General features: G+C 48.8%; 1 protein-coding gene across 26 annotated transcripts in view, besides 1 other annotated feature; it reads right to left on the bottom strand.

Moving 5' to 3' along the window:
* Positions 192 to 1,061: an enhancer, noted in NCBI's record as "H3K4me1 hESC enhancer chr4:1046553-1047422 (GRCh37/hg19 assembly coordinates)". NCBI's record gives its function as "activates a minimal SCP1, AML or CMV promoter by ChIP-STARR-seq in primed H9 embryonic stem cells {active_cell/tissue: H9 hESC(primed)}" and the evidence as "EXISTENCE:reporter gene assay evidence [ECO:0000049][PMID:30033119]".
* The window catches only part of RNF212 (ring finger protein 212), a 57,460-nt gene continuing 34,800 nt past the window's right edge, over positions 3,678 to 26,337 (bottom strand). For 12 of the 26 annotated variants that reach the window (NR_159499.1, NR_159504.1, NR_159503.1 and 9 more), the window contains 2 exons: positions 21,026 to 21,089; positions 18,905 to 20,567 (listed from right to left, as the gene is read on the bottom strand). Coding sequence is in view for 15 of the 26 variants with exons in the window: in XM_047450086.1 (XP_047306042.1) it covers positions 20,443 to 20,567; positions 21,026 to 21,089 (189 nt within the window). In the remaining 11 variants the exon portion in view is untranslated. Of the gene's footprint in view, positions 3,931 to 4,264; positions 4,432 to 5,747; positions 5,821 to 18,904; positions 20,621 to 21,025; positions 21,090 to 26,337 lie in introns of those variants that run through there. The other 14 variants (NR_159502.1, XM_017008040.2, XM_011513445.3 and 11 more) reach the window with 6 other exon arrangements.

Below are 26,337 nucleotides of genomic sequence, written 5' to 3' on the forward strand. Positions count from 1 at the left end.
GTTTCACACAGCTCGTGCCTTCACACATCATCCCTCAGGCCCTGCGCTGCTGTTCCTGGGCTGAACGTGGGCTTTCATGCACTGCATGAGGACAGGCGGGAGTTCCGCCTCGGCAGTGCTGTCACCTCCATCCACGGAGTAAGCTTGTGCCACTGTCTGGATGTTTTACTAAATTGTGACTTTTCTGGTGACAATCACTGGAAAACAAAGAAAGGTGTGCTGAGGTGGGCCAGTGGCAAATCGAGGCGCAAGGGCTGCCCCTAGCGAATGTCTGGACAGAACCAGGTGCTGCAGGGTGGACCCTGGCCAAATGCAGGCTCAACTGTGAAAAACAACAACAATAAAGAACAGGAAATGCTACAAGTATGGCTTCAAGTTTATGTCTAGAAAGGTGAAGTGATGGAAGAAATTGCAATTTTAAAATCAGGGACCACTCATCAGCCCCCAGACAGAAGGGCCCGGGGCTGCCTGGAGAGAGGGTGAGGCAGTGGCGGGCAGCCCCGGGGCAATATTTCTTGGCAAAGTTTTCAAAGAAGTCCCCTAAGGAACACCACAGGCATGAGGACAGCCCCGGCCACGTTCCTTTGCAGGATCAGCTCCAGCAAGTCCACCTGCGAGAACCAAGGCGGCCGCTGCAGACTGAGCTGAGCCCTGCGAGGTAAACCGTGAGAACGGCAGCTGCGGTAAGAGAAGCGATTCCTACCGCCTGTATTTCACATGTAGCCTGCAGCTGGACGTGTGAAGCCCTCATGCGCATATCACATAGCACATACAGGGAATGCAGCACCAGTGCCATAATTCCATTCATGATTTTACGATTTGAAATTTCTGGGAATGAAACCAACTTAGAACATGCACGCTACTACAAGATTTTTGCATATCTGATTTCAGCACGAGTTTCTGGAGCATAGTCAGCTCCCGGAGGGGACAGTCAGTTCCCGGTAGAGCGGACAGTCAGCTCCCGGAGGGGAGAGTCAGCTCCCGGAGGGGAGCGTCAGCTCATAGAGGGGACAGTCAGCTCCCAGAAGGGTAGTCAGCTCCCAGAGGGGACAGTCAACTCCCGGAGGGGACAGTCAGCTCCCGGAGGGGAGAGTCAGCTCCCAGAAGGGATAGTCAGCTCATAGAGGGGACAGTCAGCTCCCGGAGGGGAAAGTCAGCTCCCGGAGGGGACAGTCAGCTCCCGGACGGGACAGTCAGCTCCCAGAGGGGATAGTCAGCTCATAGAGGGGACAGTCAGCTCCCGGAGGGGAAAGTCAGCTCCCGGAGGGGAAAGTCAGCTCCCAGAGGGGATAGTCAGCTCATAGAGGGGACAGTCAGCTCCCAGCAGAGGGGACAGTCAGCTCCCGGCAGAGGGGACAGTCAGCTCCCAGAGGGGAAAGTCAGCTCCCGGAGGGGACAGTCAACTCACAGAGGGGACAGCCAGCTCCCAGCAGAGGGGATAGTCAGCTCCTGGCAGAGGGGACAGTCAGCTCCCGGAGGGGACAGTCAGCTGCCGGAGGGGACAGTCAGCTCCAGGCAGAGGGGACAGTCAGCTCCCAGAGGCGAAAGTCAGCTCCCGGAGGGGACAGTCAACTCACAGAGGGGACAGCCAGCTCCCAGCAGAGGGGATAGTCAGCTCCTGGCAGAGGGGACAGTCAGCTCCCGGAGGGGACAGTCAGCTCCCAGAAGGGATAGTCAGCTCATAGAGGGGAAAGTCAGCTCCCAGAGGGGATAGTCAGCTCCCGGAGGGGACAGTCAGCTCCCAGAAGGGATAGTCAGCTCATAGAGGGGACAGTCAGCTCCCAGCAGAGGGGACAGTCAGCTCCCGGCAGAGGGGACAGTCAGCTCCCGGAGGGGAAAGTCAGCTCCCGGAGGGGACAGTCAACTCACAGAGAGGACAGCCAGCTCCCAGCAGAGGGGACAGTCAGCTCCTGGCAGAGGGGACAGTCAGCTCCCGGAGGGGACAGTCAGCTGCCAGAGGGGACAGTCAGCTCCCGGAGGGGACAGTCAGCTCCCAGAGGGGATAGTCAGCTCATAGAGGGGAAAGTCAGCTCCCAGAGGGGATAGTCAGCTCCCGGAGGGGACAGTCAGCTCCCAGAAGGGATAGTCAGCTCATAGAGGGGACAGTCAGCTCCCAGCAGAGGGGACAGTCAGCTCCCGGCAGAGGGGACAGTCAGCTCCCGGAGGGGAAAGTCAGCTCCCGGAGGGGACAGTCAACTCACAGAGAGGACAGCCAGCTCCCAGCAGAGGGGACAGTCAGCTCCTGGCAGAGGGGACAGTCAGCTCCCAGAGGGGACAGTCAGCTGCCAGAGGGGACAGTCAGCTCCCGGAGGGGAAAGTCAGCTCCCGGAAGGGACAGTCAGCTCCCGGAGGGAACAGTCAGCTCCTGGAGGGGACAGTCAGCTCCCGGAGGGGACAGTCAACTCACAGAGGGGACAGCCAGCTCCCAGCAGAGGGGACAGTCAGCTCCTGGCAGAGGGGACAGTCAGCTCCCAGAGGGAACAGTCAGCTCCTGGAGGGGACAGTCAGCTCCCGGCAGAGGGGACAGTCAGCTCCCGGAGGGGATAGTCAGCTCCCGGAAGGGACAGTCAACTCACAGAGAGGACAGCCAGCTCCCAGCAGAGGGGACAGTCAGCTCCTGGCAGAGGGGACAGTCAGCTCCCGGAGGGGACAGTCAGCTGCCAGAGGGGACAGTCAGCTCCCGGAGGGGAAAGTCAGCTCCCGGAAGGGATAGTCAGCTCCCGGAGGGGAAAGTCAGCTCCCGGAGGGGACAGTCAACTCACAGAGGGGACAGCCAGCTCCCAGCAGAGGGGACAGTCAGCTCCTGGCAGAGGGGACAGTCAGCTCCTGGAGGGGACAGTCAGCTCCCGGCAGAGGGGACAGTCAGCTCCCGGAGGGGATAGTCAGCTCCCAGAGGGGACAGTCAATCCGGGACAGCCATGAATGCCATGACTTCCAGAAGGACATGGGCACCCTCTGTCCAGCAGCCCAGGCATCCTGGCATCTGGAGGGCCCAGGGGAGGCGCCTGGGAGGCTGCTGTGAAGGCAGGGACGCCTCACCTGAAATAAAGTCTCTGTGTGCAGCCCGGCAGTGCCTCAGCTCCGCCTGCAGTGAAGGTGAGGATTCTCCTGCTTCACGTGGTGGTCGGCTGCTGTTAACTCGGTTAACTCGAGTGAGATAACAAAGTTCTTTGACACTTTTTAGGTAAATGCAAACTAAAAGATTAGAACTAACCCCATAAGCCTCTTTTCCAACCCTGTGTGGTCCCGGCTGGCGGGAGAGACCTGGGCTCTGAGACTCTCTGGGAGCCACGTGCACGGGGGCGTCTCCTGCAGGAGACCCCACCCTCCTGACGGATGAGGAGGCTCCACCCACGCAGGCCGCATCTGCAGGGTGAGCTCAGGCCCGGAATTCATCTCTGGACCTGACGGAGATTCACCCGCTGAAGCCGGCATCACAGGCCCGCTGTGAGTACTGTGTGACCAGAATGCGTAGTAATCACCTAACGCAGGATGTGGCGGCGCCGACCCACGCTGCGTGCGCACCCCACAGCAGCCCTGTCTCCCCCGCGAGCTGCAGCCGGAACCTTCTAACAGGAACTCAACAGGCAGGTGTTCGTTTTGCCTCCAGCATCAACATTTTAAGGAAGTTCCAAGTTAAGAGTAAAGTTGCAAACATATCACATGTATGCTCGTCCTGATAATCAGAAAAATACTTTATTCCACTACATTACTTAATTATTTCAACAAGAGGGAAAGTACAGTCGCACTGGCTGTCTAACGTACACATGCTGGTGGGCACGAAGGCTGGAGGACTGGAAGGGGGCAGAGCGGGTGGCTGGGTGCTCATCTTTCAGGTGTCACTGCCCCAAGGTGAGCAGGTCCCGCAGGAGGCATGGAAGTCGCGGTAAAAACACAACTTTGTCTTTGAAATGACTTCAAAACTTCACACTGTTGAGGAAAATGAGGGTGCACATGTTACATACAAAAAATAAGGTGGGGAGAAGAGTTTATTCACTAAAATGTGTATTTTAAAAAATTCAGATGTCATCTTAGTATTTTCAGAGTATTATCAATATGTTTAAGTCATAATTTTCGAAATTCACAATGAATATAAAAGTGAACATTACTGCGTTTCTGAACAACTAAGGCAAAACTCAGAAACACAACTCTTGAGAACGTTTAGAGCTCCATGGCTGCCCTTGGCACACACTCAGTTAAAGAGCTTCTTTACACACGCACTTTCCCAAGAGCATTTTCTTCCTGAGGCTGGCTGAGCACTTGCCTAAACACTGCCTCTGCAGCAGGCTGGGGATGCTGATGGGCGGCCGGGGGGGCAGCCTGGCCTGGGAGCCCCCGAAGCTTGGAGAGTCCCCTCTTCCTGCTCTCCCTGGTAACTGTGGTGTTGGCGTTAGTGGGGGTCCCTTGTAGGGAATTTGCAGAGGTGGAATCCTAATAAATTCAAGAAACACAACATCATGAATGCTCGGAGCATCTCTGGTGACACGGTAGTTACAGCACTGGCCGTTTTGTGGTTTTAAAGGCCTGGATTCAAAGGCATCTCTGAGAACCTCGGAGCAGCACGCACACCCCCGCCCGGCGGCCAGCAGAAGATGTGGACCGATGCTGCAGGGCCCGTGGGCACCCAGGAGGGTCGACAACCCAGGCCAGCGGGGACGGGAGGTGGGGGCGTGAGAGAACGCTGAGGCCTGCAGGCAGCCAGGGGTGGACTGGACTGCAGGCATCAAAAGCCACTCAAGGGCTCTGGGGGGCTGACATGGGAGGGTCTGCCTTTTAGCGAGACCACCGGACCTTTGAACACACGAGTTCGGTTGACAGAGACGTCGGTGTGTGCTTAAATATGCAGCAGACGGAGTGGGAGGCCACCCAGAGGTCTGAGAAGAGCAGGGGGAGGTGAACTGTGGTCTGTTCCGGGGCTGGGGCTGAGTCCAGCCTGCCACCTGTTTTTGTAAATAAAGTTTTACTGGAACCCAGCCACACCCATTAATTTACACACTGCCTGCCCCGGCCTTCTCAATACAGAGGTGGAGCTGAGCAGCTGCCCCAAAAACCAAACATATTTACTACCTGCCCTTTATAGAAGACGCCTGCTGACCCACGGCCTATTCCTGTGGTAGAACAGCACGCAGTCACCACGTGGTACTTTTGAAGTTTTTAGCAACAGGGCAAATGCCTACGTTATATCTTAGCTTCAAAAAAGCAAACTCCTGGCTGGGCATGGTGGCTCACGCCTGTAATCCCAGCACCTTGGGAGGCCGAGGCAGGCAGATCACCTGAGGTCGGGAGTTCGAGACCAGCCTGACCAAAATGGTGAAACCCCTCTACTAAAAATACAAAATTAGCCGAGTGTGGTGGCACATGCCTGTAATCCCAGCTACTCGGGAGGCTGAGGCAGGAGAATCACTTGAACCCAGGAGGCGGAGGTTGCGGTGAGCCAAGATGGTGCTACTGCACTCCAGCCTGGGCAACAAAGAGTGAGACTCCGGCTAAAAAAAAAAAAAGCAAACTCTAAAGTGGTATATACAACAAAACCTGACTCAAAGCGTGTAAAAACAGGGATGAAAAGCAACATATTAAATTTTTAGCACTAATTCTCTCTGGTGAGTGGGATGATGAGCAGTTTTATTTTGCTGACAATTTCCTTTAAAACGCTGTGAAGAAGGTGCTTGCGGGGGTTAGAACGCTGTGAAGAAGGTGCTTGCGGGGGTTAGAACGCAGTGAAGAAGGTGCTTGCGGGGGGGCACTACCTGAGAGGCTTTCCCATGCTCCTCTGACTCGTTGTCAGGCCGGGATGCTCGGGGCCCAGGGAGGAGACGCTGCCTGTGGTGGAACAAGAATAAAACATGAGTCGTTCATGTTAACACATCACGGTGCTTTGAGGACGACGACCAGGCCAGCCTGCTGAGCTTCTCCGTAGCTGTCACTGCCTCCCTGCCACGAGGGCAGTGGCAGGCAGAGCCACACAGGCACGCGGGGTCCTCTTAGGTTGCGGGCAGCCCTGGTGCCAACACGACACTCTGAGAAGCCCTGGGTCTTCCACATGAGGGCGTAAATATCCTACATTTTAATCTTTCTACCTTTATGCACCTCTGCAGCTTAGAGAATATGTAAGCCATCTGAATCATCAGCAGCTGGATAGCAAGACCTGGAAACGAACTGGCCAGTCCCAGCTGAGTTTCAGCCTCACTGAGGGGCCCTCGGCCCGTGGGCTCTGCGAGGGGAGCCTGCCCGTCACGGGGGCAGCTGTGGGCATGCGGACTGTGCCTGGCATACACAGGTACTCAATGAGCATCTGGAGCACGAGCTTCCTCCCCCGCCTCTCCCAAGCCTTGGCTCCTGCTACCCTGAGAACTGCCGGAAGGGCAAAAGCGCGTCCAGAATTTCTTTCAGTGCCCCACCCGTGTTTGCTTTCTCCAGGCGCCTTGTAACATGAAAGGGGAGATGTGACGACTGAGTTCTCAAGCAACACCTGCTCCTGGACCCCAGGATGGGAAACCCACCCAGTGAGGGAGCCCAAGCATTAGGCTTCCCCAGCGCAGTGACTGTGACTGGCCAGTGCCCTGCCTGCTGCGGCACGTCGGGGGGTTGCCGGCTTGTGGGGCAGGAGGCCCCGAGCACAAGGCAGCCTCCGTGCCCCCGACAGGGGTCTTGTCTTTGCCCCGGGGCTGTGCAGACCTTGTGAGGATGCTGCCTGCGGGAGGCATCGTAACTCCTCAGTCTGCAGGTGACCCTGAGAAGGCTCCAAAGAACAGCTAAGAGCAAGAAGGAAAGCTGTCTTACTAGGCTGTGTGAGTGCTGCCTTCACTTCTGTCTTGTATCACGGTTTGGCATCTGGAGGCTTGTGGACCCTGCAGAGACTGCCCTCCTAGGGACAGCCAGTTCCTAGAGGCAGGAGGCCACGGTGAGCACACTTCTGATATGAAAGCCAACAAATCCAGAGCCCGTGTTCAGAGCCAACCCCAAGCCTGGGCGGCCTGTTCCACTCACCCTGCCTGATCCTCCCATGAGAACCACAACCAAGGTGCTAGGTCTCCCCTCACTCCCTCCCTGGGGGTCTCTGGGGAACTATGAGTGGAAACTCCTTTCCTCATAGCCGTTGCCTCCTCATCCGTCAGCCTCACACCAGTGATTAAAACAAAACCCTGTACATTGAACACACAGAACCACAAATAATAACGATGGCAGGTATCTTTTGTTAAGTAACTTATGCTCAATACTATATGGTCAGTTGAAATTGTAGGCTGGGTGTGGTGGCTCATGCCTGTAATCCCAGCACTTTGGGAGGCCAAGGCGGGTGGATCACCTGAGGTCGGGAGTTCAAGACCAGCCCGACCAACACAGAGAAACCCTGTCTCTACTAAAAATACAAAATTAGCCAGGCGTGGTGGCGCATGCCTGTAATCCCAGCTACTAGGGAGGCTGAGGCAGGAGAATCACTTGAACCTGGGAGGCGGAGGTTAGGTTGCAGTGAGCTGAGATCACACCATTGCACTCCAGCCTGGGCAACAAGAGCGAAACTCCATCAAAAAAAAAAAAAAAAGAAAAAAGAAATTGTTTCCTATTTACTCAATGGAAATTTTTCAAGATAACTATTATCAACAGAGATGAAGAGACTGAGGACCCAAGAGGCCAACAATTCACCCAGGGTCTGGCAAGCAGTGCTCAAGAGAGCCAAGTGTGGGCCATGGGATCTCAGACCCGAAAGACCCCTGCCGATCAGCCCGCTGTGTGTCCCACAGGGCTTGGAGAATCCTGAGGAGTCCTTCAGGTTCTGCTGAGAATCAAGTCACACCAGGCGTCATCCTGAAGAGCAGTAACTCGGAGAAAGGGGCCGCCAGGGATGCTAGAGGAAGGCCCGAAAGCCACCCAGAGCTAGGCCAGCTCTCGAGAGCACCGCAGCCCTGAGGTGGGAGGAGCTCCTCAGGGTGCCAAGGGGGCGCCATGTTTCAGTCCCACTAAGAAGCAGGTGACCAGAGGGATAACCATTCCCACAACATCTTCCAGCGCAGCGGTCTCCGTTCAGGGGAGTAATGCTATTTAATGTGTTTCACAAAGATGTCCATTTGAAAAATTTAACTGAAACATGCTGACATTTGAAGAGAGTAAATTTCACCATCTGGATGCCCAGCAGCCTGTTTCCCTGTGATGCCAGATCCACTGTGCTGTGTTCTGGAGGGGACCGCGTACTGAAGAGTGAGCGCCCTGCGCCCCTGCTGACAGGTCAGACAGCCCCACACACTGCTCAGTGAGTCTGCAGGGCAGACAACGCACAGATGGCCCGCCTGCCACTCCAGCATGTGAGGGGTCCAGGACCTGCCGTTCAACAACTCATTCAATGAGTGCTTGTTGAGGAGGACTGCTGGCTACAGTGGAGTAGAAATCAATGAGTTATCTCTACGAAGCCAAGTGCGAAACTGGACAAAATGGTAGAAACAACCATTCAGGCCTCTGGAAATCAATTCAAGGCAGACAACAAATCAGAAAACATTGACTCCTGAAATCAGAACACACTGACTCCTGAAATCCCGTTGCAGCTTTGGGAGGAGCGGGACTTGGCTTCCCAGCCTGAGGGTGAATACAGACACAAAATTCCTCAATAAAATACCAGCAAACCAAATCCAGCAGCATATAAGCAGCTGCTCCACCTCCCCCTACCCCACTCTACCCAGCAAGAGCACAGCTGCACCAGGGTGGGTAGCTGAGGACCAGCAGCCTTGCTTCCAGAGGGGGTGGGCTCAAGGTGGGAGGGGAACGCTTTCATCAGCCACGAGGGGTCCATCTGCAGGACCTGGAGAGGCCCACAGTCCTGGCTGGGGAGGGGTAAGGAGGGCAGGGACCAGTCAGAAAAATAACGGGGAAATGCTGAGAACAAGAGAGCCAGACAGAGGCAGCTTCCCTGGAACCCTGGCCGACAGAAGCAGCACAGGCCTGTGCAGGGGGATCCAGCGCGGCCACAGAAGTGATGCCACAGGGGACCAGGAACTGACTGGATATCGGCTCCCCACATGCACAGATCATTGGCCATGGGGAGCCTCAGGGATGCGTGGTGTTGGAGCACAACCACAGACAGAGCAGCGGCCAACCGCTGAGCTGTAAAGACAGGCGGACACCCCGGGACATCTCAGCTCAACAAGAAAAGAGCAGAAACCATGAGCGGACACATCTGCGGCTGCCGTGGACACAGATTCTCCAGCTTAGGTCCAGGTAAAATACCCAAGCAAACAAAAACCAATCAAACAACCTTGGATAAAAATACAAGAATCCAGACTTGCTGGGACAAATACAGTACCCAGGTTGTCCAGATTGCAGCCCCAAATTATGGGATAAGCAAAGAAACAGAAGCGTGACCACACTCAGGGAAAAGGGCAGATGGCAGAGGCCCACGCTGTGCGGCCCAGATCGCATTTCCTAAGGACTCCAGAGCGGCTACCGTAAATGAGCCAAAGAATTAAAGGAAAATATGATGATAGTGACTCCAGGCACAGGGCTTTCAACACAAAAACAGAAATGCTAAAGAAAAAAGAACCAAGAAGGGAACATTTTCTAACTCATTCTATGAGGACAGAATGAGGTCCTGACACCAAAAGCAGACAGAAACGTTACAAGGAAAGAAGTGTGCTGACCAGTATCTCTTATGAATACAGACACACAATTCCTCAACAAAATACCAGCAAACAAAATCCAGCAGCGTATAAGAAAGATCATACACCACGACCAACCGGGATTCATCTCAGGAATGCACAGTTCCTTCAACATACAGAAATCAACACCATATTAATATATTCTATCAATGGAAGTAATTACATCTATGAACACATCATGGTAACAGAACAAAACCCAATAATCATCTCAAAAGAGAAAGAGAAAGCACTTGAAAAATTTAACCCTTCTTCATGACAAAAAAGGACTAGAAGGGCACTTCTCAACCCTATAAAGGGCGCCTCCAGGAAACCCTCAGTGAACACCATCCTTCATGGTGAAAGGCTGAAAGTTTCCTCCTAAGATCAGGAACAGAACAAAGACAAGGATGTCTGTTCTTGCCGCTTGTATTCAACACTGTATTGAAAGTTCCAGAGAGGGCGGTTAGGCGAGAAAAACAAATGAAAGTCCTGCAGTGGGACGGGAAGTGAAAAGATAAAAATAAAAGTAAAAGATAAATAAAAGGCATCGTGGTTGGAAAGGAAAAAGTAAAACAACCTCCACTTGCCGATGACATGATTTGCCATATACAGAAAACCCTAGAGAATCCACAAAAAAAATCCCCAGAGCTCATAAACTCAGTAGATTGCAGGATACAAGATCCATCTATAAAAATCAGTTGTATTTCTACATACTAGCAATGAAAACCTGAAAATAAAAGTTACAAAACAATTCTATTTATAGTAGCACCAAAATAACAAAATACTTAGGAATAAATTTTACCAATGAAGTGCAAGATTTCTTCACTGAAAACTGCAAAATACCGTTGAAAGAAATCAAAGACCTAAATAAAGGTAAAGCTATGTCCAACATTCATGGATTGGAAGATGCAGTGTTAGTATTAGATGGCAATACCCCCTACATTGATGTACAAGGTGAATTAAAACTCTACCGAGATTTCAACCTGCTTTGTCAGCAGAAATGGGAAAGTTGATCCTAAAATTCATATGGAAATGCAAGGAACTCAAAATATGCAAAACAATCTCAAAAAAGAACAAAGTTGGAAAACTCACACTTCATAATTTCAAAAGTTACTATAAAGCTTTAGTAAGTGAAAGACAAAAAGAAAAATACTTAAAGCAGCAAGAGAAGAGCAACTCATCACCTACAGGACAATACGATTAACAGCTGACTTCTCATCAGAAATAATGGAAATGGCTGGGTACGGTGGCTCATGCCTGTAATCCCAGCACTTTGGGAGGCCGAGGTGGGCAGATCACCTGAGGTCAGGAGTTTGAGACCAGCCTGGCCAACATGGTGAAACCCCATCTCTACAAAACTAGCCAGGTGTGGTGGTGCGCACCTGTAATCCCAGCTCGTCAGGAGGCTGAGGCAGGAGAATCACTTGAACCCAGAGGTGGAGGTTGCAGTGAGATCACACCATTGCACTCCAGCTTGGGCAACAGAGTGAGACTCAGTCTCAAAAAAAAAAAAAAAAAGAAAAAAGAAAAATTAGCCAGGTGTGGTGGTGCATGCCTACAGTCCCAGATACTCAGGAGGCTGAGGTGGGAGGATTGATTGAGCCCAGGAGGTCCAGGCTGCAGTGAGCCATGGTCAAGACACTGCACTCCAGCCTGGGTGGCAGAGACCCAGTCTCAAAAAAAAAAAAATGAAAAAAACCAATATTAATAATAATGGAAGCCAGAAGACAGAGGAATGACATATATACCAAGTGCTAAAAAGTCAACCAAGAAAATGTATCTTCAGTGAAATTATCCTTCAAAATGAAGACAAAGACATTCAAATATGGAAAAAAAAAATGAAGAGAACTGACTTCTAGCCAATCTTCCCTGCAAGAAAAAACTGGAAATGGTTAATATGTTGTGAATGATGGAATAAAAGATTTTTTTCCTCTTAAGGTCTTTAAGAAACATAAGTTTAATTCAGGAAATAATGACAACACCATATTGTTAGATTTATAACACATAGATCCCATATATATGTACATAAATACATATGACAAAGCAGGTGGGAGGAAGCGGAGCTATATGGAGCAATGTGGTTACGTTCCACTGGAATTCAGTCGGTGTTCACCTCAGTGAGTGTTCACTGTGGTGAGTTCAAGATGCATGTTGTAATCTCTAGAGGAATCACTGAAATAATAAAGCACACAGATAAAGTATCAACAGGAGAACTAAAACGTGTATTAGTCTGCTTGGGCTTCTGTAATAAAATACCACAGACTGGGTGGCTTACACAACAGAAGTTTATTTCTCGCAGTTCTGGAGACTGGCAAGTCCATCAAGATGCTGGCTGATGGGGGTCCTGGCTTGCAGACAGCAGCCTTCTCACTCTGTCTTCATACGGCCTCTTTTGTGTGTGTGCAGAGTTAGTAAGCAAGCTCCCTGGTGTCTCTTTTGTTTTTTGAAAATTTATGATGATACAGTTTCCTACCTTAACCATTTTCAGTGTACAGTTCACTGGTATTAAATACATTCCTGATGCTGTGCAACCATCACACCACCCATCTCTATAACTGTTTTCATTTTGTGAAACTGAAATTTTGTGAAACTCCCATTAAACGAGAGCTTCCCACCCCTCCATCCCACAGCCGCTGGCAGCCACCATCCTACTTTCCGTCTCTACGATCTTGACTACTTCACACACATGGACTCACACAGCATTTGTGTTTCTGCGACTGGCTTATGCACTTAGCATAGCGTCCTCAATGTTCATCCACGCGGTAGCGTGTGCCAGAGTTTCCTTCCATTTTAAGGCTGAATCATAGCCCACTGTACGGAGACACACATTGTGCCTATCCATTCATCTGATGGATACTTAGATGGCTCCCATGTTTTAGACACTGTGAATAATACTGCTACGATCTTGGGTATACAAGCATCTCTTAGAGACCCTGCTTTCAATCCTTTTGAGTACTGAATTGAAATGCAGCATCATCTGGGAATTGTGTTTTTAAGTTTTGGAGGAAAGGCCACACTGTTTTCCACAGCAGCCACACCATTTCACATTCTCACCAACAGTGCACATGCTTCCAATTCCTCCGCGTCCTTAACAACACTTGTTATTTTGGGTTTTTAAAAATGATTACAATAAACATTTATTTAAAGGAAAACATCTGCAGACCAAATAATTCTGAAGTTTGTTTCAGGTTTAACCATCTTCATAAAAATACTTTGAGGAAAGCTGCATCCACAGACTTCAACTATGTGATTACTTCTTTGTCCATTCTCCTCTCTCGTTTTCTTTTTTCTTGAGACAGGGTCTCACTCTGTCAACCAGTCTGGGGTGCAGTGGTATGATCACTGCTCACTGCAGCCTTGACCTCCCAGGTTCAGGCAATTCTCCCACCTCAGCATCCTGAGAAGCTGGGACCACAGGTTTACGCCACCAGCCTGGATAATTTTTTGTAGAGAGGGGGTTTTGCCCAGGCTGGTCTGGAACTCCTAGGCTCAGCTCCACCTCGGCCTCTCAGCTTCCCAAGTAGCTGGGACTACAGGTGTGTGCCACCACACCTGGCTAGTTTTGGCATTTTTAGTAGAAACAGGTTTCATCATGTTGGCCAGGCTGGTCTTGAAGTCCTGACCTCAAGTGATCTGTCCACTTCAGCCTCCCAAAGTGCTGGGATTACAGACATCCGTGCCCGGCCTGTTTTTGTTTTTAAGAGACAGGATCTTACTCTGTCGTCCAGGCTGGAGTGCAGTGATGCAATCATAGTTCACTGCAGCCTTGACCTCCTGAGCTCAAGCAATCCTGCCTCTGTGTTCCAAGTAGCTAGGACTACAGGTGCGATTTTTTAAATATATAGTAGCCATCCTAATGGCTGTTTATCTCATCCTAATGAGATACTATCTTGCTGTTTTTTTTTTTTCTCTGTAGATGAGGTCTTGCTATGTTGCCCAGGCTGGACTCCATCTCCTTGGCTCGAGCAATCCTCCCACCTCAGCCTCCTGAACAGCTGGGACTACATGCATGAGCCACTATACCCAGCTCTTGCTATAGTTTTGATTTGCATTTCTCTAACGATGAACGATGAGTATCTTTTCATGTGCTTATTGATCATTTGTGTACTTTGCCTATTCAAGTCATTTGCTGCCCTCCGCTTTTCTTTTTTCTGAGACAGGGTCTCACACTGTCACCCAGGCTGGAGTGCAGTGGCACAATCTCGACTTACTGCAACCTTTGCCCCCCAGGCTCAAGCAATTCGCCCACTTCAGCTTCCTGAGCAGCCGGGACTACAGGTGTGTGCCCCCATGCCTAACTACTTTTTAAGTTTTTTTGTAGAGATGGGGGTTTCACCATGTTGCCCAGGCTGGTCTCGAACTCCTGAGCTCAAGCGATCCTTTTGCCTTGGTCTCCCAAAGTGATGGGATGACAAGTGTGCACCACTGCGCCCAGGCTTTGCCCATTTTTGAATCAGGTTGTTCGTTGTTAAGTTTTAGTTCTTTATGTATTCTGGATTGTAATCCCTTATTAGATACATATGATTTGCAAATATTTTCTCTGATTCTGCAAGTTGCCTTTTTACTCTATTGATAGTATCTTTTGATGTGGAAAAATTTAAAATTTTCATGAGGTCAATTTGTTTAATTTTTTTTTTTGTTGCCTGTGCTTTGGTATCATATCCAGGAAATCACTGCCACATCCAACATTGTGAACCTTTTGCTCTATGTTTTCTTAAAAGAGTTTTATATTTTTTAGTTTTAGGTCCTTGATCCATTTTGAATTGACTTTTCTACATAGTGTTAGGAAGGAGTCCAACTTCATTATTCTGCAGGTGGATATCCAGTTTTCCCAACACCATTTCTCAAAAAAACTGTCCTTTCCCCCACTGAATAGTGTCTTTCTCCATTGAATAGTGTGTTTTGTTTTGAGGACATGAATCTTATTGGCTTAGGGCTAATTTAACTTTACCTCCTAAAGGTTCTAACTCAAAATATAGTCACATTGGAGGTTAGGGCTTCAACATATGAATTTTGGGGGGACTCAAATCAGTCTATAGCAAAATGGTATGATAAAAATATTTATTGCAAACAAAGGCAGTTAAGGAGATACCGATAAACTAAAAATCCTGTCATATATAAAACAAAAAACAGCAAGACAGCAGGCACAAATCCAACCACAAAATTAATAATTATATAAAATATCAATGGACTATCAAATCAGAAAGTATAGATTATAATAGATCAAAAAAAGATCTAACCATATGTTGTCTATCAGAGGCACATCATGGATTCAAAGACACAGGCAGGTTGAAAATAAAAGGATGGAAAAAGATATACCATGTGAACTATAACCAATATAAAAATTAAATGAAGAAAATCCCACCGTAAAAAATAATGAAATACCTAGGGCCGGGTGCAATGGCTCACACCTGTAATCCCAGCACTTTGGAAGGCTGAGGTGGATGGATGGCTTGAGGCCAGGGGATCGAGGCCAGCCTCGTCAACATGGTGAACTCCGTCTCTACTAAAATTACAAAAATTAGCCGGGTGAGGTGCTGCACGCCTGTAATTAATCCCAGCTACTTGGGAGGCTGAGGCACAAGAATTGCTTGAACCCAGGAGGTGGAGGTTGCAGTGAGCTTAGATGGCACCACTGCACTCCAGCCTGGGCGACACAGCGAGACTCTGTCTCAAAAAAAAAAAAAAAAAAGAAATACCTAAAGTGTAAGTCTATCAAGAAAGTACAAGGCCTGTACAGTGAAAATTGCTGAGGATTCTTGAGAGAAACTAAAGAAGCTCTAATCAATGGAGAGACATAGCACATCTAAGCACTGAGACAGTTAAAACTGTGAAGATGGCAATTCTCCCCACACCGATGTAGAGATTCAATCAATATCAAAATCCTGGCAGACTTTCTCTGTAGAATTTGACACTATCCTAACATTTATATGGAAATGAAGAGAACCTGGAATAGGCAAAATTATGTTGATAAATTAAGAAAAAGGTTAGAGGGCTATGCCGTCTAATTCCAAAACTTACTGTAAAGCAAAAGTAACCAAGATATTGTGGTATTTCTGAAAGGAGAAAATATACTCATCGACAGGGTCCGGAAGAAAGCCCTCACTGGCCGTTCTGCTATTTATTCTCCAATGCCTCTGTCTCCTTTGTCCTTCTATTGTCTTGATTGTCTTTAACACATGCTTTACAACGTCATGTAAAAATCCCTCTTGATTTTTCAGCTGTGTTTTTAGAGTTATGTTTGCTGTGGTTGCTTTAAACGAGTCTCATCTTCTGCTCTACTGTTGCTCCATCTCCTCGCTCTTCCTTTGTGCTTATTATCCTCTATGTTACATCTATTTGTTATAACTCCAACAATACAGTGTTATCATTGTTGCTTCAATGTTATGTTTTGTAAGGTAATGAGAAGATAAAATAATGAACAACGCAGTCTCTTATTCTCATCCCATATTCACCATTCCCCATGCTCTTCATTCCTTCTAACAGATTGAAGTGACTGTGTGGCATCAACCTAAATGCCTTCCTTTACATTTCTTGTAGGGCAGGTCTATTAGCAATGAATTCTGTTTCTGTTACTCTGTGAATGTATTTAGTCTTCATTTTAAAATGTTAATTTCATTGGATACAGAATTCCTGGTTGAGGTTTTAAAAATGCATTTTGAACATGACCATGTCTGGGAGGATTTTAGCAGAAAATACAAACCTCTGAACAAAATAGAAATCTATGAATATGGCTGGACGCAATGGCTCACACCTGCAATCCTAGCACTTTGGGAGGCTGAGGCAGGTGGATTGCCTAAGCTCAGGAGTTTGAGACCATCATGGGCAACATGGCGAAACTCCATCTCTACTAAAAATACAAAAACAATTAGCTGGGTGTGGTGGTGCATGCCTATAGTCCCAGCTACTTGGGAGACTGAGGCACAAGAATCGCTTGAACCTGGGAGGCAGAGGTTGCAGTCAGCCGAGATTGCACCACTGCACTCCAGCCTGGGCAACAGAGCAAGATTGTGTCTCAAAAAAAAAAAGAAATCTATGAATCCATATTGTTATAAATTAGTGAATACATAGATACCTGAATTGGGTAAAAGAAAAAGCTCTTCTTTATAGTAGAATGACAATTAATACATATAGAAGGAACTGTGGAAATGGAAAAACTGCTATGAGGCAGTCATTAGGTGGTTGATTGTTGGGGGGTGAGGCCGGATGAGGCAAAAGGTATCAGTGTCATTTGGACTATCTCTCCACAAGACACTCATCCATTATGGGGGACATAGTGGCTGCAGTGAGAAAGCCTGATAGATGCCTGTGTGGTCAGGCGACCAAGGTGAACATCCTCCTGGAGGAATCAGGCGACCAAGGTGAACATCCTCCTGGAGGAATCACGTGACCAAAGTGAAGAGGAATCAATCAGGTGACTAAGGTGAACATCCCTGTGGCAGAACAGGTCACCTCTGTGCTCCGATGTGATGTGCTAAGCAGAGCAGTAGCATTTCTGGGGCATTCCCACCAATAGAGGATGGTCTGGTCTCCGGAGGAAATACCAGACAACCCAGGTTATGGGTCACCCTTCAGAATTTGAGGCCTTTATTCTTCGGAACTGTTGAGGACAAGAAAAAGAAGTATGAAGAAATGTTCCAGTCCAGAGGAGAGAGAAGAGATGTTACAGCTGGATGTAGCTCATCTTTCCATGAGATTCTTGACCAGAGGAGAAGAAAAACTCTGTGGTGACAACTGACGGGATGGTACAGCTGTGTCAGCGTGGACGCCTAGCCTGAATTACGGGTGGTTTTGTAGGATTGCGCTGTGTCAGCGTGGACGCCTGGCCTGAGTTACAGGTGGTTTCGTAGGACTATGCTGTCAGCGTGGACGCCTGGCCTGAGTTACGGGTGGTTTCCTAGGACTGTGCTGTGTCAGCGTGGACGCCTGGCCTGAGTTACGGGTGGTTTCGTAGGACTGCGCTGTGTCAGCGTGGACGCCTGGCCTGAGTTGTGGGTGGTTTTGTAGGGCTGTGCTGTGTCAGCGTGGGTGCCTGGCCTGAGTTGTGGGTGGTTTTGTAGGACTGTGCTGTGTCAGCGTGGACGCCTGGCCTGAGTTACGGGTGGTTTTGTAGGACTGTACTGTGTCAGCGTGGACGCCTGGCCTGAGTTACGGGTGGTTTTGTAGGGCTGTGCTGTGTCAGCGTGGGTGCCTGGCCTGAGTTGTGGGTGGTTTTGTAGGACTGTGCTGTGTCAGCGTGGACGCCTGGCCTGAGTTACGGGTGGTTTCGTAGGACTGTGCTGTGTCAGCGTGGGTGCCTGGCCTGAGTTGTGGGTGGTTTTGTAGGGCTGTGCTGTGTCAGCGTGGACGCCTGGCCTGAGTTACAGGTGGTTTTGTAGGACTGTGCTGTGTCAGCGTGGATGCCTGGCCTGAGTTGTGGGTGGTTTTGTAGGACTGCGCTGTGTCAGCGTGGATGCCTGGTCTGAGTTACAGGTGGTTTTGTAGGACTGTGCTGTGTCAACGTGGGTGCCTGGCCAGAGTTACAGGTGGTTTTGTAAGACTGTGTTCTTGGTTTTTAGCGATGCTAGGGCACCACATCGGTAACATGCTCAGTGGTTCAGAGAAATACCAATGATGACAGATTGGGAGCAAATTAACAAAATGTTAACATTTGGGGAATCTGGACAAGGGAGATGTTGGAGTTTTGTTTTTTTTTTAATACTGTTCTTACAATTTTTTCTGTGTGCTTGAAGTATTTTCGAAATAAATTATTTTAAAAAACTAATTTGTTTTTTTAAATACTGTTCTTACAATTTTTTCTGTGTGCTTGAAGTATTTTCAAAATAAATTATTTTAAAAAACTAATTTTTTTAAATACTGTTATTACAATTTTTTCTGTGTGCTTGAAGTATTTTCAAAATAAATTATTTTAAAAAACTAATTTGTTTTTTTAAATACTGTTCTTACAATTTTTTCTGTGTGCTTGAAGTATTTTCAAAATAAATTATTTTTAAAAACTAAGTTGGTTTTTTAAATACTGTTCTTACAATTTTTTCTGTGCTTGAAATATTTTCAAAATAAATTATTTTAAAAAAACTAACTTGGTTTTTAAAATACTATTCTTACAATTTTTTCTGTGTGCTTGAAGTATTTTCAAAATAAATTATTAAAAAAACTCATCTTACAACATACCTCAAGATAAACTCCAAAGAATTTGGAAGAAGGTAAACATTAAAAACTAGAAGAATTCTGTTCTGTGAAAGATAATGTCAAGAGAACAAAGGACAAGCCACAAAATGGAAGAATATATTTTCAAGATACATATTTATCTGATAAGGAAATGTCATCCAAAAAAAAGACACACAAAAAAGAAATGTCATCCAAAATATACACAGGACTCTTAAAACTCAACAATAAGAAAACAATCCAATTAAAAAATGGGCCAAATACCTTAACAGACACTTCAGCAAAGAAGATATGCAGATGAAAAATCAGCATAAGATGCTCCTAGTCATATGTTATCAATGAAATGCAAAATAAAACAGCAAGATACCACTACATACCTATCAGCTGGCCAAAATCCAGAACACTGACATCATCAAATGTGAGGACGTGGAGCAACAGGAACTCTCATTCGTTGCTAGTGGGAATGCGAAAAGCTGCTGCCACTTTGGAAGGTAGTTTGGCAATTTCTTTCAAAACTAAACACCCTCTCACCATCTGATCCAGCATTCACACTCCTTAGTATTTACCCAAAGGAGCTGAAAACATGTCTACACAAAACCCTGGCACATGGACATCTATAGCAGCTTAATTCATAATTGCCAAAACTTGGAAGCAACCAAGATGCCCTTCAGTAGGTGAATGGATGAACTATGATACATCCAGATAATGGAATATTATTCAGTGACTGAAAAAATGAGCTAGCAAACCATGAGAAGAGATGGGGGAACCATAAGTGTGTATTGCTAAGTGAAAGGAGTCAATCTGAGAAGCCACATACTGTACAATTCCAACTCCAGGAGAGTCTGAAAAAGGGACCGTAAAAAGATCAGTGGCTGTCAAGGGTTGGTGGGAGGTGGGGGAAGGATGAACAGGTGGCGCACAGAGGATTTTTAGGGTGTGGCACTATTCCATATGCTGCTACGATGGGGACACATGTCACTAGATATTTGTTCAAACCCATAGAACATTCGACACCTAGAGTGAACCCTAATGTAAACCATGGACGTTGGGTGATAATGATGTATTCAAGTAGGATCATCAGTTTTAACACATGGACTGCTCTGGTGGAGGATGAGGATGATGGGGGAGCTGTGCGTGTGTGGAGTCATGGTGTATATGGGAAATCTGTACCTTCCTTTCAATTTTTCTGTGAACCTAAAACTGCTCTAAGAAAAAGTTTTAAAAACCACCCAGTTAGAAAAAAATGATTTAAGTATGTGAAAAAAAAACTCCCTAAGCATGAGAACCTATAAAATAAAAGGGATAATAACAATATATATGAGTACATAAAAATATTGTCTCTAAAATTCAAAGGTCAAATATAAAATTACAAAGCAAATTGGGTAAAAGGTTAATATCCTGCACACTGAGGGCTTCCACATAAATGACAAAGGAATAAAGCAGATAATTTGTAGAAAAAACACAGAGGAATAAATTGAAAACACTCAGAATCATTAATAGTCACATAAATGCAAATCAAAATGACTTTTTCCTTTCAAATTGGCAAAGAGGAAACACAACAGACACAGCGGGTGTTCTGAACGTGTCCAGGGTGCCCTCAGCCTGCTGGAACGGAAACAAGACGGCCCTTTGTACCTCAGCATATATTGGAAGTGTTTTAGAGTTGGTGAGTTCCCCGTGCCTTCCAGAACTGAACGCTAGGAGGAGCAGCCAGTGAGGACAGACGTCTATGCAGAAACATGGTGAACCTCTGGAAATGACACACTCTCCGGGCACAGGGGGCTTAGACAAGGTCAACCATGGGATGAAACAGAAAGAAGCTGTTAGATGTGGCCCTGCGGGAAGATGCAGGAGACAGCGTGTGGGGAGATGGCCTGTGTGGGCTGAGGTGGATGTGTGCTGAGGGTGAGGGAGGGATTCACTTTGAAAAGGGACCAGCAATTCAAAGCCAATTACCAGGAAGCAAACCCAGTGACACTATTTTTGTTTAAAACCAAGAGGACATAGAATGCAAAGGAGCCAGTTATCTCCTGTGACTTGTTACACGGTCATCAGGAGCTTCTCCCTGGAAGGACTCAAAAGCTGCACCATTTTGGTGAATATGTAGCCTCCCATGCACCGGGTGGAAGGACAGCACCCCCTTGGGTAGGTTCTGACAGCTTTGATTAAACATGACCTTTCAGGGAATGCATTTTAATCGATGCATGTATCGGTCTGAGGTTACAGGACATTTTACTTACCCATTCGTCCATCTTGAGGTGGACTAATCATGGAGATTCTCGCAGGGCCGGCTGCTATCTCAGACTAAGAATGCAACAAGAAAACAATGGGTAAAATTCCAATATTGCGGCTTACGAGATTCGGACTCCCACTGTCTGTTAGGAACACATTTCCCAGAACCCCATCTCCCTCATCTTTATCGCCCTCTGACAAGTTCCTGTCTAACTTGATTCTGTGTTCACCTCCCGACTCTGCCTGCTGGTGGTAGAGGTGGTGTGGGTGGGTATTACCTGATTACCTGTTTGATTCCCTCTGTTCCACCAGGGCCTAAAACAGTGAACGGATAAAGGGCTCTACTAGGAATTTTAGGTGAAAAAAAACAAAATTTGCAGCTGATGTTAGAGAATGTGAAATTCTGAGTAAATCATTCTTGGGTGCATAATTTTGTCACCTTGAAATCCAGATGCTGATGGACAGGTTGGAGCTAATGCTGCTCAGAGCTGTGTGTGCTGGGCCCTGCTCTGTGCCCACCCTTCACTCTATCCAGCAACCACGAGGCCGCTTCTGCCACCATCCCTCCTCAACCCACAGGAACCTGTGAACCCAGAGCTGCCAGCGCAGGTTCTGAGACTGGTAAGGGAGGCTGCTCTGCTCTGAGCCCCTCCTGCCTCTCAGTGCGACCTGGGGGCATGGCAAGGTGCTACTTCTAGTTGCTGCCCCTTCCTGGGCTCGCTCCTCTGGCTCTCCACTCACTGCTGGCATCTCCTGTTCCCAGGCTCCTTGCCTCACCCCGCTGGTCCTCAGGCTCTGCCGCCATCAACTGTGCCCCGCCAAGACCTCTGCTACCCACTTTCCTGGCTTCTGCCCCCGGCACAGCCACCCCACAGATCCTTTAATCCACAGGCCCTTCCAGTACACCGTGGAAGCCCCTCTGTGTCCTCATGGTCTCTCTACCAGCACAGGAGTGCCCTGCTCCAGGGACTCTCTCTGCCACACCCTTGGCCCTACCCTGCCAGTCCTCCACTCCTACTCACTGGCAAGACTCTAACCTTGGAAGGACGGACCCCCCTGCTTGGCATGGCCCTCTGAGCTGCCTGCAGGCCAGCTTTCTCATGGAGCTGTCCACTAAGCACATTCCCCATCCACCTGAAGCTCATGACCTCACTCCTACCCCCAAGAAGACAGAATCTTGTGAAATCAGGAGCTTTTGTCTCTGTACCTTCAGCCTCTGCCTGCCATCCTGTGAACACCAGACATATTCCTGCCTCATCAGGACAGGCTCCAGGTACTTCCTTTCACCTGCCTGGAGTGCTGCTATGCCATCATTTCTGGATCCTTCCATCCGCTAGGATGTCTTCAATATCAAGTTCATCCTAAGAATCCCCTTGACATCACCGTCCCTTCGAACTACATTCCATTTGCTGCTCCATTTAGAGAAAATCTCCGCAGAGCGTTCAAGTGCTGGTGTCTTTCCCCGTCCTGGTGCTGTCTGACAGCTGTGAGTTACAGAAGACAGTGGTGCAAACCTTTCTTGTAAATGGGCCATGGCAGACTTGGCTGGGCAAGACACTGGTTCCTGCCACATGGGAGGGGCTGTGTACGCATCGGTGTGTTCACATCTGCATTTGGCTGCCTACACGCATGTTTGCTCTTTGGATTCTCCTTTAAACCAGTTTTCACATTTAACTGGTGTATTAGGCCATTCTTGCACTGCGATAAATACCAGAGACTGTGTAATTCATAAAGAAAAGAGGTTTAACTGGCTCATGCTTCTGAGGGCCGTACAGGAAGCATGGCAACAGCTGCTTCTGGGGAGGCCTTGGGAGGCTACAATCAGGGTGGGAGGCCAAGGGGGAGCAGGCGCGTTGCAGGGCGAGCAGGCAAGAGACTGGGGGGTGGTGCCATGTACTTTTAACCAGCCAGATCTCGTGAGAACTCACCCACCATGGCAAAGACAGCACCAGCCACCAGGGATCTGCCCCCATAACCCAAACTTCTGCTACCAGGCCCCACCTCGGGCACTGGGGATTATAATTCCACATGAGATTCGGGCAGGGACAAATATCTAAACTATATCAGCTGGTTTCCCTCATTAACTCATAACCTTTTGTTTTTGAGACAAGGTTTCACTGTCGTCCAGGCTGGAGTGCAGTGGGGCAGTCACTCACCTCACTGCAGCCTCAACCTCCTGGTGGTGATCCTCCCACCTCAGCTTCTCAGTAGCTGGGACTACAGGTGTGCACCACCATGCCCAGCTAATTTTTTGTAGAGATGGGGTCTTGCCATGTCACCCAGGCTGGTCTCAAACTCTTGGGCTCAAGGGATCTGCCTGACTCAGCTCCCAAAGTGTTAGGATTACAGGCGTGAGGTACTGTGTCTGGCCACCTCATAAGTTGAAGGAAGTGTGTGAATGGTATTCATTTTGTATTTGTGAGTCATGATTTTACCTTTTCAAAAAGATATGTTAATCCTGGTCAATTTTACATAATAGAAAATGCCATGCTCATTTAAGGTTAACAGCCTTAACTTAGAAATTATCCCGCCAAGCCAGACACCTTAGTCAACACTTCCATCTGCATGTGAAGGCAGACTCTCCCTTGCCTTCCCGGGCACCTTGTCCAGGAGGGTGGGGGCCTTAGGCTCTGCTTCTCCTCCTCCCCAGTGCCAGCAGCCTGAGGTCCCCAGGCCTGGAGCAGCAAGGGTGGAGGAGGAAGGAAAAGAACCAATCCCCTCTGGGCGGGCCCAGCTGTGCCCCAGGCGCTGTCATGGGATGGCGCTGGCTTTGCTTCTCCGAGTCCACCCAATGAGAGACCCTTGCACTGTGGCCCTCCCTCTGACGAGCCTTTGGGGCAGGAACCCCACCAAGAGCACCCCCGATAATGCTCTTTCCCATGCAGCCCTGAACAGTGTGGGAGGTTCACCTCGAGAGAGGCCTGCACACTGCTCTCTGCAGGCCAGAGAGTGAGACCTCAGTCTGCACAGGCAACAGGTGGTGTCCCAGAACCTCTGCTCAGGCTGAGGGTTACCAGGAGCACCTCTCACTCTAGGCCATCATGTGGGGCAGGGAGGACGGGAGCTCTTTCCAAAGGAACTGCTACACACATCCACTCCAGGGTGACAAGGCGTTTCGGGAGGTGAAAAGTTGGTTTTAGACACTTTCCTTGAAATTTGCATTCTGGTGTGGCACAGGGGTTGGCAAACTATGGCCTGCAGCCTGTTTTTGTTAATGAAGTTTTATTAGAACACAGTCATGGTCATGCCTATTAGCTTCCATACTTTCTATGGTTGCTTTTGCAATTCCATGACAGAGTTGAGTAGCTGTGGACTGTCTGGTCTGCAAAGTCCAAATGTTTTACTATCTGGCCCTTTACAAAAATGTGTGCTGGCCAGGCTGTAATCCCAGCACTTTGGGACGCTGAGGTGGGCAGATCACAAGGTCAGGAGTTCGAGACCAGCCTGACCAATATGGTGAAACCAGGTCTCTACTAAAAATACAAAAATTAGCCAGGCATGGTGGTGCGTGCCTGTAGTCCCAGCTACTCGGGAGGCTGAGGCAGGAGAATTCCTTGAACCCGGGAGGCGGAGGTTGCAGTGAGCCGAGATCTCGCCACTGCACTCCAGCCTATAGGCAATAGAGTGAGACTCTGTCTCAAACAAACAAACAAACAAAAAACAAAAAGCAAAAGACAGAAAATGCCCATGTCTGGTCTTTGCCCCTCACTTAGGAACTTTGATTCATTACATTCTGGTTCCTCAGCAATAATTTCCAACAGTAGCACCTAGTGAAGTGTCAATCAATTTAGCCTGCCAGTCTTTTCTTTCTTTTTTCTTTTTTTTAGAGACAGGGTCTCACTATGTTGCCCAGGCTGGTCTTAAACTCCTGGGCTCAAGTGATCCACCTGCCTTGGCCTCCCAAAGTGCTGAAGTTATAGGCGTGAGCCCGACATGCCTGCTGCCTGCCAGTCTTGAGTATTCTCTATCCTCCTCAATTACTCAGATCCTAAGGAAAGGTAGAAAGCTGACCTGACAGAACAAAGTTCTTCCTCCTTAAGCTGTGGGGACTTGGAGGCTGTGAGTTCATCCGTGAAACAAGGCCCTAGTGCAGCAAGGGACAGCTGGAAGCAGGTGTCTGGCCTTGGGGGAGCCAAAGCAGGTGGTGGGGACCTACAGGGACCCAGGGGAGGGCTCCATAAGAGCTTCCAGCAGGGCCTGAGGGGGCAGGTGGGGTCCTCGATGTGGGCCAGTTGCCTAGGGAGGAGGTGCACCCATAAGGAAGCGTGTCCCTCTGGAAGCACAGCTCCCGTGTTGCCGGTGGGTGTGGGCGTGGCCATGAGGATGGCAGAGGTGAGCTGGGCAGGGAGAGGATGCGTGTGCTTGACCCAACTGCCAAGGAACTGGCGTTTCTCTTTCACGGAAGCTGTGACGGCTCTTCGTTCCCTACTGGATCCAGTTCTGCCTTCTTATTCTGACTCCGGGTCCCTCCATCATCCGGCTCCGGGTGTGATTACCCATGCCACAGGGCTGCTACACGACTGAGTTCATATCTATAAAGGGCTCGGAACAGTGCTTGCCAATGAGCCACACTGTGTCGCACAACCCGAAGCAACACATAAATCAAATAAGCCAATAACTGGCACTGTGGAACACAGGCATTCACCGCCGCCAGAACACACTCAGTTTTCCTGCCTTTGCTCCTCGGCCCCCTCCTGCCCCACAGGCTTCTCAAGTCCTGATCCCTCCTATGGGGTGCAGCTCACTCTGCCCTGAGTCCTTCCCAAACTGCCTCCTCTCTCCCGTTTCCGAGCTGCCTGGTGTGTGGCCGATGTGGTACATCTGGCGCTGAGTTCTGCCCACCAGGACAGACGACGGGAGAGCCGGGCCTGGACTCTCCCTGAGTTCCGGGCAGGTTTCCTCTGGTCTTGCTTCTCTCCAGCTTGAAGTTGTTGCTTCCTGTTTCCCAGAGTCCTTGGCTTTTCTGACCCATTTCTTTTCCTGGGCTGACAAAGTTTACTACTGTCTTCTTCAGCACTGTTTGTCATTTCATGAGACAGCAAGTGAAGGCAGTTAAAGCCCAGGGCCACCAACTTTGCTGCCCTTTCTCCTTGACACCAACAGAGACTGACAGGGACCAGCACGGGACCAACATGGGACCAGCAGAGGATCAACGCAGGATCAACACAGAACCAACATAGGACCAATACAGGGTCAACACAGGACCGACATGGGACCAACACAGGGTCAACACAGGACCAACACGGGACCAACACAGGACCAACATAGGACCAACACAGGGTCAACACAGGACCGACATGGGACCAACACAGGGTCAACA

This window comes from Homo sapiens, chromosome 4 (genome assembly GCF_000001405.40).
Source record: "Homo sapiens chromosome 4, GRCh38.p14 Primary Assembly".
Taxonomy (NCBI): domain Eukaryota; kingdom Metazoa; phylum Chordata; class Mammalia; order Primates; family Hominidae; genus Homo; species Homo sapiens.